This window comes from Homo sapiens, chromosome 17 (genome assembly GCF_000001405.40).
Source record: "Homo sapiens chromosome 17, GRCh38.p14 Primary Assembly".
Classification (NCBI taxonomy): domain Eukaryota; kingdom Metazoa; phylum Chordata; class Mammalia; order Primates; family Hominidae; genus Homo; species Homo sapiens.
In genome coordinates this window covers 74,278,463-74,293,135 of record NC_000017.11, presented here as the reverse complement: position 1 = coordinate 74,293,135, position 14,673 = coordinate 74,278,463, and the positions used below count along the sequence as shown (strand labels likewise).

The window sequence follows — 14,673 nt, the reverse complement described above, 5'->3', positions numbered from 1 at the left end:
ACAGGCCAGGTGCGGTGGCTCACGCCTGTTATCCCAGCACTTTGGGAGGCCGAGGCGGGCGGATCACGAGGTCAGGAGATCGAGACCATCCTGGCTAACACGGTGAAACCCCGTCTCTACTAAAAAAAAATACAAAAAATTAGCCCAGCGTGGTGGCAGGCACCTGTAGTCCCAGCTACTCGGAAGGCTGAGGCAGGAGAATGGCGTGAACCCAGGAGGCAGAGCTTGCAGTGGGCCAAGATCGCGCCACTGCACTCCAGCCTGGGCGAAAGAGCAAGACTCCGTCCCAAAAAAAAAAAAAGGAAAACTACACCGGACAATAAGCAGAATATAGTCTTCTCAAGTGCTCATGGAACATTCTCCAGGATAGACAATATGCTAGGCCATAAAACAAGTCTCAATAAATTTTAAAAGACTGAAATCAGGCCAGGTGTGGTGGTTCATCCCAGCACTTTGGGAGGCCAGCCAAGGCAGGCGGATCCCTTGAGCCCAGGAGTTTAAGACCAGCCTGGGCAGCATGATGAAACCTTGTGACTAAAAAAACTACAAAAATTAGCCGAGTGTGGTGGCACATGCCTGTAGGCTCAGCTACTCGGGAGGCTGGGGTGGAAGAATTGCTCGGGCCCAGGAGGTCGAGGCTGCAATGAGCAGTGATTACACCACTGCACTCCAGCCTGGGCAACAGAGTAAAACTCTGTCTCAAAAAAAAAAAAAAAAAAAGAAAAAGAAAATGATTATAAGGGAATACTGTGAACAATTAAATGTCAACAAACTAGACAACTTGATGAAATGGAAAAGTTCCTAGAAAGACAGAAACTACCAAAAGCAATTAAAGAAGAAACAGAAAATGTGAAGAGGATCTATAACAAATAAACAGACTGAATTGTAACTTTTAAGCTTCCAATAAAGAAAAGCCAGGGACCAGATGGCTTCACTGATGAGTTCTACCAAACATTTCAAGAATTAATAGCGGCCAGGCATGGTGGCTCACGCCAGTAATCCCAGTACTTTGGAAGGCCAAGGAGGGAGGATCACTTGAGGTCAGGAATTTGAGACAAGTCTGGCCAACATAGTGAAACCCTAACTCTACTGAAAAAAGACAAAATTAGCCAGGCGTGGTGGCATGAGCCTGTAGTCCCAGCTACTCAGGAGGCTGAGGCAGGAGAATCACTTGAATCCGAGAGGTGGAGGCTGCAGTGAGCTGAGACTGCACCACTGCACTCCGGCCTGGGCGACAGAGCGAGACTCCATCTCAAAAAAAAAAAAAATTAATATCAATTCTTCACAAACTTCCAGAAGGGAATACTTCCCAACTCATTCTATAAGGCCAGTATTACCCATATCCGTTAGCATGTAGGTTTCCCAGAAACCTCTCCCAAAATAGGGCTCCCCAACGCTCTCATCATCCCTTTATGGCGGCCCCTAGTCAAATATTCTCTGATTTTACTTGAACTATAGTTTTTTAAAACTGTTTATTTTGAGCTAATTTTAGACTTACAGTAGTAACAGGAGACACTGCTGAGGTGTCAGCCAAACCTGCCTCACCCGTGTCTGCAGTTGGTCAGCTATGGGAGGCCCTCACCCCACTTAGTCTTCTGTGGCCGAGCCCAGGCTGCCATGTGGGCTCTGCCCTATAGCAGCAGGATTGGCTCTGACTATGAATCTGGGTCCCGGCCAGGTGTGGTGGCCCACACCTGTAATCCCAGCACTTTGGGAGGCCCAGGTGGGTGAATCACCTGAGGTCAGGAGTGCGAGACCAGCCTGGCCAACATGGTGAAACCCTGTCTCTACTAAAAATAACAAAAAAATTAGCCAGGTGTGGTGGTGGGTGCCTGTAATCTCAGCGACTCGGGAGGCTGAGGCAGGAGAATCACTTGAACCCAGGAGGCGGAGGTTGCAGTGAGCCAAAATTGCACCACTACACTCCAGCCTGGGAAACAAGAGCAAAATTCCATCTAAAAAAAATAAAAATAAAAATAAAAAAGCCTAGGTCCCTCCTTACCTATCTGTCCATTGTAGCAGCCACCCAGGAGTACGTGGGAATCTTTGGGGTTGAACTCCAACGTCACGAGTGGAGACGATGGCTTCAGAGCAAGTTCAGGCTTGTTGGGGTTTTCTATAAAGCACAAAAAAATTATCCCCACCAGGCCCGGAAAGAAAAGGACAGGATCAACCAGTTTCACCCCTTCTGCGGGTGGGTAGCGGGGGCATGGTGGCAGAGGGGGAAGCCTGGAAGCCCCTCCAGTCTTTCCCCAGCCTGCACCCCCTGGTCCACCTTGGCCAGAATCTGGCATTCTTGACCCTAGGGGCTTTGCTGATGGTTTTTATTTTTGGTGAACAGGATTGGGGTGTGCGTATGTGTGTGATAATTATATTTCTAGTCCAGTTCCTAGGTTTGGTGTGAAACGAGGTTTTGATACTAAAGTTTTTACACAAAGTCAACTCTCTGCCGGTTTCTTCCAACCAGGTCTGTGGACTGCAGATAATGACGGAGTCCACCCCATAGGGCTGCTGCCAGAACTCGCTGAGCTGTTGGAATGTCGGGCGTTAGCTCTCTGCCTGGCACCTACATGTTTATTTTAATAATGCTGACAACGAAGGGAAGCTGGAGAGCGTGAAGCCACCACCACCCTGTCCCTGCCTGTGTCTTGCCAGCCCTTCTGTAGACAATGGTTTGTGCTAATAAATGGACACGCTGCCCCTGCAGGCCATGAATTAAAGGCAAGTGTCAGGACAGATGGGACAAAGGCACAAGTTCCATTCCGCCGCCCCTTGAGTCCCTTCTCAGTCTGCTGGGCACTCTGTCTTGTTGTTGCTGTTGAGATAGAGTCTCACTCTGTTGCCCAGGATGGAGTGCAGTGGCATGATCTCGGCTCACTGCAACCTCTGACTCCTGGGTTCAAGCGATTCTCCTGCTTCAGTCTCCCAAGTAGCTGGGATTACAGGCACCCACCATCAAGCACAACTAATTTTTGTATTTTTAGTAGAGACAGGGTTTTATCATGTTAGCCAGGCTGGTCTTGAACTCCTGACTTCAGGTGATCCACCTGCCTTGGCCTCCCAAAGTGCTGGGATTACAGGCATGGGCCACCGAGCCCGGCCTGATATGCTCCTTAGGAGCTAAGAATTGAGATCCCATGGGGTCAGGTCTTCATGCCTCGAACTAAGAATCTGGAATTGGTGGGGGTTTCCTGCTTCTGATTTGACTCTGCTTGGCTCTGCCTGAAACCAGACAAGAGAGGAAGGAGAAGAGTGTGTTCCTCCTCGACTGCGGGCCCTTCCCTTGAGGCACCAACCGCGTGAGTGTCCTTGACCTCCTGCCCCTCCCTCCCGCTCCTCCACTTGTGCTGGTCCCAGCCCTCAGCCCTCCCAGGCCACCAGGACCCCGCTGCTTCTCACCCAGGTCCCAGATGTATGAATCGCTGCTCATGCCCACAGGTGCCCGCTGAAAATCCAAGCAGGAGTATGCCACTGCCAACTTCCTGTTGCCATCGGGGTGCCAGGAGAGGTGTGTGGCAGCCCTCTTGATTTCCTGGGGGTCCCTGCAGGGGAGAGGGAAGAGAGCAGAAGGCTGGATGTGAGGTTCCCCAATTTCTCCCCCTTTTTTTTTTTTTTGTCAGATGGAGTCTTGCTCTGTCCCCCAGGCAGTGGCATAATCTCGGCTCACTGCAACCTCTGCCTCCTGGGTTCAAACAATTCTCCTGCCTCAGCCTCCCGAGTAGCTACGATTACAGGCGCACACCACCACGCCTGGCTAATTTTTGTATTTTTAGTAGAGACAGGTTTTTACCATGTTTCCTAGGCTGGTCTCAAACTCGTGACCTCAGATGATATGCCCACCTGGGCCTCCCAAAGTGCTAAGATTATAGGCGTGAGCCACAGTGCCCGGCCCCTCGGATGATTTCTAATGCATCATCCTGCTCTGGTGGTCCATATACGAGGTTAGAGCCCAGCAGGGCTGGAGGGCAACAGGAAGGGCAGCCTCTGCCCCGCCATGCCCTCTCCTGCACACCCCTTGCTGACAGCCACTGGCCCTGCTTGCACACCATGAGTCAGCCCTGCCTCAGAAAAGAGTTCTTTCTTGCTGTGCTGGGACTGGGCTAGGTACTTCCCAGGCCCCTAAGTCAGTCGTGGTAGTGAAATGAATTCCCCAGAGCTGGGATCTGAGGCAAGTCATTTCCCAAACACCTTTCACACCCCTAGTCCTGCATCACCCAGACCCAAGGTCTGTCCTCTGCCCCAGGTCCACAGGCTTCCCCTCCGCATTTCCCCAGCTGCTCTATTCCAGCCTCCTGCTCATCTCCACTCATCTGATTGGACGGCCTTGCTTTTTTCTTCATGGTCAAAACCGAGGCCACAGAGCATGGTCTTTCTCACTTCCACCCACTTTCTGCAACTCCTTCCACCAGACTTCAAGGCCGAGGAGTCCTTCTTCCCCAGGCTTCTCCCCATCCCTGTTCCCAAGCTCTCCTTCCTATCAGCTTCTTTTGTACACCCTACAAAGGTGCTCTGGGATGGGGTATTCTGTTCCTGGGGCTGCTGCAACGAGGTCCCACAAACTGCGTGGCTTCAAACAACAGAAATTGATTCTATCACAGTTCCGGATGCCAGAAGTCCAAAATCACAGATGTTCTCCTCACATCAGGCATGTAAACATACATCTACACATATATACACACATACACATATGCATATATTTATACACATATACAGATGCTCCTTATCTAATGATGTTGGCTACATCTGATAAACCCATAGTAAGTTGGAAATATCAGGAGCTGAAAATGCATTGAATACACCTAACCTACCCAGCATCACATCTTAGTCCAGCCTATGTGCTCAGAACACTTATATTAGCCTATAGTTGGGCAAAATCACCTAGCACAAAGCTTATTTTATAATAAAGAGGTGAACAGCTCATGTAATTTTCTGAATACTGTACTGAGGGTGGAAAACAGAATGGTTGTATGGGTACTTGAAGTACGGTTTCTCCTGGATTTGCATTGCTTTTGCAGCCTTGCAAAGACAAAAAATGGTTTAAGTTGGGGACTGCCACAAAAAGTGGCACTCTGCACACCCTGTTCTGCACCGGCTTTGTTTTGGTTTGGTTTTCACATACTGAATCCTGGAAATGACTCCATATCAGCACATAAGAAGTTGCACTGCTTTTTTTTTTTTTTTGAGACAGAGTCTTGCTGTATTGCCCAGGCTGCAGTGCAGTGGTGCGATCTCGGCTCACTGCAACCTCCGCCTCCCAGGTTCAAGTGATTCTCCTGCCTCAGCATCCCGAGTAGCTGGGATTACAGGCATGTGCCACCACACCCAGTTAATTTTTGTATTTTTAGTAGAGACGGGGTTTTGCCATGTTGGCCAGGCTAGTCTTGAACTCCTGACCTCAGGTGATGCACCCGCCTTGGCCTCCCAAAGTGCTGGGATTACAGGCGTGAGCCACCATGCCCAGACTGCCCCGCTCGCTTTACCAGGTGCATGGCATTCCGTCGTGTGGGTGTGCCAGAACTGCTAGAACCAGTCCCCTATGGATGGACTTAGCTTGTTCTAGTCTTTGGCTGGCATACACCCTCTGCAGTGAATATCCACGCCTGCGGTGATTTCACACACACACACACACACAACCTGTGGGATGAATCCCTGGTGTCAAACTTCTATCCTCTGGAGTTATTCATGGATATACTCGCATGAGTGCAGGCCGCGGCGGGGGCCTGTGTGCCCACAGTGCTGCTAGCTGCTCATGCTTGGTACTTGTACTTACTCTGCCCTGCAGGAACATGCCCCACCTGTACGCAGCTGGGCAATTTCACTTTCTCTGGAGTCTGTACTCCCTTTCCATCAACCAGACCCGCCCCCAGAGCAGGGCCACTTCTCTGCTGGGTGACTTATCACCACGTCACTTATCAAGCTCAGAGCACAGACAGTGCTGCACCCAGGGCATGCAGCGATGGCAAGGAGTTGCCTTTGGAGGCGCCCATGCATGGGGGTGACGGAGGGTGGCCAGACACCTGCCTGGCTATGGCGCTACCTGAACACATTGATGGTTTTAGCTGAAGGGTCCTCCTCCATCACTTCCATGGCCTCCTCGTCATTGAAATACTCTTCATAGATGTCAATGGCATTGTTCTGCTTGATGCAGTGCTCCATGATCTAGGGGGGACACATTGGAAGTTCTCCGCAGTAAATGGAGGTCCTTTCAGATTGCCCAGGCCTGCAATGGAGTCTGGGAGGGACAGGACATAGCCAGGGGCTTTTCCCATCCACCTAACCATGTGCTTTCAATGGAGGAATTTTCAATTGGTTCCTGGGGGTAAAATAATATTGCTTTTTAGGTACAAAGCATGGAAATACATGCAGCGCATGAACAGATATACAGTATGTCTATAGCATTAACATTTGATGGGCTGGGTGCGGTGGCTCACGCCTGTAATCCCAGCACTTTGGGAGGCCGAAGCGGGTGGATCACTTGAGGTCAGGAGTTTGAGACCAGCCCGGCCAACATAGTAAAACCCCATCTCTACCAAAAATACAAAAGAAAATTAGCTGGGCATGGTGGCAGCCGCCTGTAATCCCAGCTACTTGGGAGGCTGAGGCAGGAGAATTGCTTGAACCCGGGAGGTGGAGATTGCAGAGACCCAAGATCACGCCACTGCACTCAAGCCTGGGTGACAGAATGAGACTCTGTCTCAACAACAACAAACATTTTATGGAGGCAGAAGGCCATTAGAAAAAACATGAAGGCCAATAATGAAGAAAAGGTTGAAGAACACCATGCTAGACAAACAAAATTATTATTATTATTATTATTATTATTATTATTATTATTATTTTGAGACACAGTCTTGCTCTGCTGCCCAGGTTAGAGTGCAGGGGTGCGATCTGGACTCACTGCAGCTTCCGTCTCTCGGGTTCAAGCAATTCTCCTGCCTCGGCCTCCTAAGTAGCTGGGACTACAGGCATGTGCCACCACACCTGGCTAATTTTTGTATTTTTAGTAGAGATGGGGTTTTGCTATGTTGGCCAGGCTGGTCTCAAACTCCTGAGCTCGAGTGATCTGCCTGCCTCTGCCTCCCAAAGTGCTGGGATTACAGGTGTGAGCCACCAAGCCCAGCCCAAATAAAATTATTAATCTCTCTCTCTCTCTCTCTCTCTCTCTATATATATATATGTGTGTGTGTGTATATGGCACTCATCTCCTTCTTCCTGTCCTTGCAGACAGCTGGTTCCTCCATCCAGAATGCCCTCCCCTTTATTGCAAATGTCCACCAAAGGACAACCAAGCCCTGCCACTTCTTCCAGGAAGCCTTCCCTGTTCCCTTCAGCAGGAGATTGACCCTCCCTCCTCATGGAGTCAAAGGACAAGTCATGCTTCTCTTTCAGCATTTCTTTCTTTTTATGTTATCTGGTGATGTCTCTGTATTTGTCTTTGACCTCCAATGGACTGCAATCTCTTTGGGACAGGATGTATAAGAGATTCTTTTTCTTTTAATTTAAATTTTAAATTTCTTTTTCCTTAAAACAATTTTTTTTTTTTGCACTGGCAAGTATGTAGAACAATTATGAGATTCATTTTGCAACCTCTACTGTGCCTGGCAGAGGCTTGAAGTTCAGTCCAAATTTGTCAAATGAATGAATGATCCCTATTGGCTGCTGGGTGGGGCACTTTGGGAGTCACCTTTGCCCAAGGTCAGACTCCTCCTGATGCCTGGTCAGCCCTTGTACCTCCCTGCCTTCCCTGTTGGTCTGTGATTGGGACCTCTGCCTGCTCCCAGACAGAAGGCTCCTTGAGGTAGCAGCTGGTCCCCTTCCCCCCAGCATTCACACGAGCCTCACAGCGATGGCCAGGCACAGCTGGGGCAGTGCATCCCTTGGGGAGCTGCAGTGATGGATGGGGCTCTTGCAGCTGGGGCAGGAGGAAGCCTTACAGAGCCGAGCTGCATGATGGCGTTAACGTAGTTCTCATCTTTCTCCACTTTCTTCCGGAAACGGATGGTCTGCTCCAGCTCCAGGGGGTTCACGTCCTTGGGCCAGCCCCCCTCGACATGGTTAACTCCCCGGGTCTCCATCTCAAACCGCTCTGAGTTGGCCTAAACAGAGAGCCGCAGGAGGGAAGACGTCACCCTGGTATACTCCCAAACCCTCGGCCACTTCTGCAAGCCAGGTCCCACGGGGGCTCCCAGGGCTGGATGCTGAGGCGCCCTGGCCGGAGCCACAGTATTTTCAAATGCAGGCAAGGAAATTCCTGGTGATCAGGTGGGCACAGGTAGCTGCAACAGCGCAACCCTGTGGAGCTAAGCAGCTTTGCAACTGGTAGCTGTGGTCATGAAAATCCTGTTCTGACCTTATCTGAATTCTAATGGACCAGAGAAGCCTGTCCATCTGCTCTGTGAGAATCCAAAGAAAAGGTGAATAATTGGCCGGGTGCAGTGGCTCACACCTGTAATCCCAGCACTTTGGGAGGCCGAGGCGAGCAGATCACGAGGTCAGGAGATCGAGACCGTCCTCGCTAACACGGTGAAACCCCGTCTCTACTAAAAATACAAAACATTAGCCGGGCGTGGTGGTGGGCGCCTGTAGTCCCAGCTACTCGGGAGGCTGAGGCAGGAGAATCACTTGAACCTGGGAGGCAGAGGTTGCAGTGAGCCGAGATCACAGCACTACACTCCAGCCTGGGCGACAGAGCGAGACTCCGTCTCAAAAAAAAAGAAAAAGAAAAAAGAAAAAGTGAATAGCCTTTCTTCACTCTATCATTAACAATGCCACCCTATCACTGACAATGTCAGTGTCACAAAAATTGAACGTTAAAACTCCAAGTTTGGATTTGCTTTGCCTATCCTCTCTAGCAGGGAGGACAGTTTTACACGTGGGTGTCGCCACTTTCCCTTCTTTCCTTTTTTTTTTTTTTAAGAGAGGGTCTCTCACTCTGTTGCCCAGGCTGGAGTGCAGTGGCATGATCTTGACTCACTACAGCTTTTTTTTTTTTTTTTTGAAAAGGAGTTTCGCTCTTGTTGCCCAGGCTGGAATGCAATGGCGGAATCTCGGCTCACTGCAACCTTCGCCTCCTGGATTCAAGTGAGTCTCCTGCTTCAGCCTCCCCAGTAGCTGGGATTACAGGTGCTCGCCATCATGGCCGGCTAATTTTTGTATTTTTAGTAGAGACGGGGTTTCACCATGTTGGCCAGGCTGGTTTTGAACTCCTGACCTCAGGTGATCCACTGGCCTCAGCCTCTGGAAGTGCTGGGATTACAGGCATGAGCCACTGCGCCCGGCCAGTACAGCTTTGACTTCTCAGGCTGAAGGGATCCTCCAGCCTCAGACTCCCAAGTAGCTGGGACTACAGGCATGTACCACCACACGTGGCTAATTTTTGTTTTTGTTTTTCTTCTGTAGAGACGGTGTTTCGCCATGTTGCCCAGGCTGGTGTCAAACTCCTGAGCGGAAGTGATCCTCTCGCCTCTGCCTTCTTTTCACTTTATTTTTTAAAAATTATTTATTTAGTTATTTAGTTATTTATTTTTAGAGACAGGGTCTCATTCTGTTGCCCAAGCTGGAGTGCAGTGGTGCAATCACAGCTCACTGCTGCTGTGAACTCCAGGGCATAAGCAATCCGCCCGCCTCCACCTCCCAAGTAACTGGGACCACAGGTGCGAGCCACCACAACTGGGTAATTAAAAAAAAAAAGTGTAGAAATGAAGTCTCACTATGTTGCCCAGGCTGGTCTCAAACTCGTGGCCTCAAGCATCCTCCCACCTTGGTCTCCCAAAGTACTGGGATTACAGGCTTGAGCCAGCACACCCAGCCCTTCCTGTTTTTAAGAAATTGTGGTAAAATACATGTAACATAAAATTTACCACATAACCACTTTAAAGCGTACACTGCAGCAGCGTTATTATACACAGTGCTGTGCAACCATCAACCCCACCTAGTTCCAAAACTCTTACATCACCCAGGATGGAAACCCCATCCTCATGAAGTCACTCCCATCTCCTTTCCATTTTTAAGCCAGCTCTCACAAAAGGTAAAATCTGGATCAGCACCATAGGAAAGGTTAAAACAAAACAAAACAAAACAAAACAAGTCTGGAAAAGGCAGAGCTGCTGGAAACGACAGGAGGGCCCCCAGGGTGTGGCCCACATAGCGGCCATTCTGCTTATTGGCTACACCATGGCCACAGTCCTTCTCATCCCCGGGGGAGCAGTTGGTCCTGGGAGAGAAGCACCTAATTCATTTGAACTGTGAGTCACTGAAACCACCCACACCCACCTGACTGTTGGACGTGTTTTGGCCAAATCAAGTGATTTCGTTATCATTTTATCTCAGCAGTTGTTGACCTAATTAGGGTGAATCACTTAGTTCATAGAGACAGGGAATTTTTGGCCTCTGAACACATGACCATGACCCTCAAGATAAGTTCTCTTATCGTGGAGGCCCCTCTGGCTGGAACTTTCTGTGGGACACTTCCCTTTTCTCAAGCTGGGTAGTTGCCTGTAGATATGAATCTCTGCTCCCTCAGAATATCTCTCCCACGCTGGGCACAGTGGCTCATGCCTGTATTCCCAGCACTTTGGGAGGCCAAGGCGGGAGGACTACTTGGGCCCAGGAGCTTGAGACCAGCCTGGGCAACATGGCAAAACCTCATCTCTACAAGAATTGCAAAAATTAGCCAGGCGTGGTGGTGCACACCTGTAGTCCCAGCTACCAGGGAGGCTGAGGTGGGAGGATCTATTGAATTCAGGAAACGAAGGTTGCAGTAAGTCGAGTTTGTACCACTGCACTCCTGGGTGATAGAGTGAGACCCTGTTTAAAAAAAAAATGTCTCCCAGCTACACCAAACATCCAAAACAACTCTGGTAAGTGTCTTCGAGGTGAAACAAGAGCTCTTGGGAGAGGGAACATTGTGATTTGCACTTCCCTGGCTCGAGGAAGGCGGGTGCTGGGTCTTCCTCTGACCCTGAGCACTGCGTGGAACTCAGGGGGAGCCTCTGCCCTCACTTCCAGCATCTGCATTTGGTCTACTCTAACTGGCTTTCAGGTGGACAAGGACCCACAGAACCACTCACCGGCCCCAGCTGGCCGCCCTGCCTGGCCACACCTGACAGGCCAGGGCCCTTGGGGCAGGGACCCACCTCGTGTTCCGACATGCTGATCGAGCACTGGATGCCCGTGTCCACTGGGTTCCGCTCCACGAACTGCTCGGCCAGCTCAGGGTTGGGCATGATGTCGATGTTCAGCTCGGCCTGGCGGTCCGAGAAATTGCACTGCTTCCCGAACTCGCTGCGCTTCTTGACGTACACGTACACAATCTCCATGGTGCCGGCTGCTGGGGGGCAGAGGGAGGGTGTGGGGTGAGGGACCCCACCGGCCCCTTCCCTATCTCCACAGGTCCTGCCAGGACAGCTCCAGGTTCTCAATCTGGTTGGGGCAGGAAGCAAGGGGTGGTGGGGAGATCCTAGGAATTTGTCCAGAAGCTGCATCCGCATTAAAAAAAAATCCTGAGTGCCGACTATATGCTAAGCATTACCCTGTTTAGTTATTGCAGTTGCTCTCTGAGGAGGGCAATAAAAATTTTGGCCAGGCGCGGTAGCTGACAACTGTAATCCCAGCACATTGGGAGGCCAAGCCAGGTGGATCACCTGAGGTCAGGAGTTCAAGACCAGCCTGGCCAACATGGTGAAACCCCATCTCTGCAAAAATACAAAAATTAGCCGGGCATGGTGGTGCACACCTGTAATCCCAGCTACTCGGGAGGCTGAGGTGGGAGAATCACTTGAACTCGGGAGGAGAACGTTGCAGTGAGCCGAGATCACACCATTGCACTCCAGCATGGGTGACAGAGCAAGACTCTGTCTCAAAATAAATAAATAAATAAAATCACCATTTTCTTTGAAGGCATTTGATGCTTAGATGCCATCAGTGACTTGCCCAAGGTCCTATAGCTAATGCATGCTGCAGCTGGTCTGCCCCCATTCCAAAGCTCTTACCCACCAAATGATACAGTTTTCGTCTTTTGTTTTTAGGGCTTTTTTTTTTTTTTTTTTTTGAGACAAAGGCTTGTACTGTCACCCAGGCTGGAGTGCAGTGGTGTGCTCACAGCTCACTGCAGCCTCAACCCCCGGGCTCAAGTGATCCTCCCACCTCAGCCTCCCAAGTAGCTGGGACCACAGGTGTGCAGTACCATGCCTGGCTAAGTTTTGTATTGTTTTGTAGAGATGGGGTCTCGCCATTTTACCCAGGCTGGTCTTGAACTTCTGGGCTCAAGTGATCCACCTGCCTCAGCCTCCCAAAGTGCTGGGATTACAGGTATGAGCCATCGCACGTGGTACAATACGGTTTTTACTGAATCAGTGTTTATTGACAGGGCAGGAGGAAATATTGATGGTGATGATGTTGGACTAAATTCCCTGCCATGCTGGGCATGAAACACACAGGACACAGATTTGAGACCCCTGGGCCTCTTCTTGAACCCCTCCTCTCCAACCCAATGACCCAACTCCCCACCCAATTGTCCAAAAGGCTCGTTGGTTGCCAGACTCTGGCCTCCACCACTGTCTGGGTACCATCCTGGAAATCTCTTCTCTCCAACCAGGACAGAGCTGAGAGTCAATCCCAGACAGAGAGAAAGCCAGGGGCTTCCCCAACAGGCGGGACATGGAGGCCTTTGGGAAAGCCTCTGACGCGTGCTACTGGTCATGGGACACAGCAGGGAATTGGGAAGTGGGCTGGGCTCGGCCCTGATTTCAAGTTCTGGGCCTCCCGTCACCAGCTGCGTGACCTAGGCAGGGCCACTTAGTCTTTCTGAGACCTGACACACCCACAGGATGCTGAGAAGTGAAATGAAAGTGCTCCAGCAGCATCAGAGGCGGGGTTCACAGGCCACGCAAGGAAGGGTTTCTCACTGATGCTGATTAGAAGTTGTAAAAATGCAATGGGCTGGGCCATTCCCACATATTGCCCTTGACCTTTCTGACTCCCCCATGACATCACTAGACTCCACTGGGTCTGAGGGCTTTCTCAATGAGTTCAGTGGTTGGCGCTTTGACCTGTGTACCTGCCATATCACACCATGGAATTAGCAGAGATTTCCGTCTGCCAGCCACCTGCACTTTCAGAAATTGTGCCTTTGATAGCAAGTTTCCAGGGGCTCAGATTGAGGATCTGTGCAAGGCTCCTGGGGTTGCACAGAGCCTTAGGACAAAAGATGTGGATGAGTGGCTGGTGCTGGTGGGAGGAAGATAAACTGAAGGAGAGCTTGCCTTGGTAGATTTACAACCAAAGGCCTTTCAACGCCCAAGAGATTAGGCCGGGCATTGTGGCTCATGCCTATAATCCCAGCACTTTGGGTGGCCGAGGCCGGTGGATCACTTGAGGTCAGGAGTTCAAGACCAGCCTGGCCAACATGGCGAAAACCCATCTCTACTAAAAATACCAAAAATTATCCAGGCATGGTGGCACGTGCCTGTAATCACAGCTACTCAGGAGGCTGAGGTAGGAGAATCGCTTAAACCTGGAAGGTAGACGTTGCAGTGAGTCGAGATTGTGCCACTGCACTCCAGCCTGGATGACAGAGCAAGACTCTATCTCAAAAACAGGATTACGTGAGCAGGTTTGCCTGTGAGCAGGTTTTGCTATTTTTTTTTAATTTTTAATTTTTGTGGTTACATAGTAGGTGTATATATTTATGGGGCACAGGAGATGTTTTGCTATAGGCATGCAATATACAATATACAATCATGGGAAATGGGGTATCCATCCATCCCCTCAAGCATTTATCCTTTGTGTTACAAACAATCCAGTTATACTCTTTCAGCTATTTTTAAATGTATAATTAAATTATTTTGACTATAGTCACCCTGTTGTGCTATCAAATACTAGATATTAATAGTCACATCATGGAGAATGGGGTATCCATCCCCTCAAGAATTTATCCTTTGTTAGTTATTTTTATTTATTTATTTATTTTGAGACGGAGTCTCCCTCTGTCACCCAGGCTGGAGTGCAGTGGCACGATCTCAGCTCACTGCAAGCTCCGCCTCCCGGGTTCACGCCATTCTTCTGCCTCAGCCTCCCAAGTAGCTGGGACTACAGGTGCCCACCACCACACCCGGCTAATTTTTTGTATTTTTAGTAGAGATGGGGTTTCACCGTGTTAGCCAGGATGGTCTCGATCTCCTGACCTCATGATCCACCCACCTTGGCCTCCCAAAATGCTGGGATTACAGGCGTGAGCCACCGCGCCCGGCCTGTTAGTTATTTTTAAATGTACAATTAAGTTATTGCTGACTGTTGTCACCTTGTTGTCCTATCAAATAGTAGGTCTTATTCATTCTTTCTTTTCTTTTCTTTCTTTTTTTTTGAGATGGAATCTCATTTTGTTACCCATGCTGGAGTGGAGTGGCATATCTGCTCACTGCAACCTCCGCCTCCTGCGTTCAAGTGGTTCTCCTGCTTCAGCCTCCAGAGTAGCTGGGATTACAGGTATGCGCCACCATGCCCGGCCAACAATGTTAACAAAAAGAGAAGCCACAGACTTGGATAAAATATCTGCAAATTATCTATTTGATAAAGAACTTGCATCCAGAATATGTAAAGACTGACCAGGTTGCAAGCACTATGAACAACAGTTTCCAGGCGTGCTTCCTGCATGCCCAGCACCACTCCCAAAGA

General features: G+C 49.8%; 1 protein-coding gene across 17 annotated transcripts in view, besides 3 other annotated features; it reads right to left on the bottom strand.

Annotated features, from left to right (window-relative positions):
• The window catches only part of DNAI2 (dynein axonemal intermediate chain 2), a 40,651-nt gene that overhangs the window by 21,749 nt on the left and 4,229 nt on the right, over positions 1–14,673 (bottom strand). For 10 of the 17 annotated variants that reach the window (XR_007065388.1, XR_007065398.1, XR_007065399.1 and 7 more), the window contains 5 exons: positions 11,136–11,329; positions 7,935–8,096; positions 6,038–6,159; positions 3,400–3,542; positions 2,003–2,116 (listed from right to left, as the gene is read on the bottom strand). Coding sequence is in view for 4 of the 17 variants with exons in the window: in NM_001353167.2 (NP_001340096.1) it covers positions 2,003–2,116; positions 3,400–3,542; positions 6,038–6,159; positions 7,935–8,096; positions 11,136–11,318 (724 nt within the window). In the remaining 13 variants the exon portion in view is untranslated. Of the gene's footprint in view, positions 1–2,002; positions 2,117–3,399; positions 3,543–6,037; positions 6,160–7,934; positions 8,097–11,135; positions 11,330–14,673 lie in introns of those variants that run through there. The other 7 variants (XR_007065389.1, XR_007065391.1, XR_007065393.1 and 4 more) reach the window with 4 other exon arrangements.
• Positions 3,538–4,038: an enhancer, noted in NCBI's record as "H3K4me1 hESC enhancer chr17:72285237-72285737 (GRCh37/hg19 assembly coordinates)". NCBI's record gives its function as "activates a minimal SCP1, AML or CMV promoter by ChIP-STARR-seq in primed H9 embryonic stem cells {active_cell/tissue: H9 hESC(primed)}" and the evidence as "EXISTENCE:reporter gene assay evidence [ECO:0000049][PMID:30033119]".
• Positions 7,916–8,511: an enhancer, noted in NCBI's record as "H3K4me1 hESC enhancer chr17:72280764-72281359 (GRCh37/hg19 assembly coordinates)". NCBI's record gives its function as "activates a minimal SCP1, AML or CMV promoter by ChIP-STARR-seq in naive H9 embryonic stem cells {active_cell/tissue: H9 hESC(naive)}" and the evidence as "EXISTENCE:reporter gene assay evidence [ECO:0000049][PMID:30033119]".
• Positions 12,895–12,954: an enhancer, noted in NCBI's record as "active region_12703". NCBI's record gives its function as "activates an Ori minimal core promoter by ATAC-STARR-seq in GM12878 lymphoblastoid cells {active_cell/tissue: GM12878}" and the evidence as "EXISTENCE:reporter gene assay evidence [ECO:0000049][PMID:35858748]".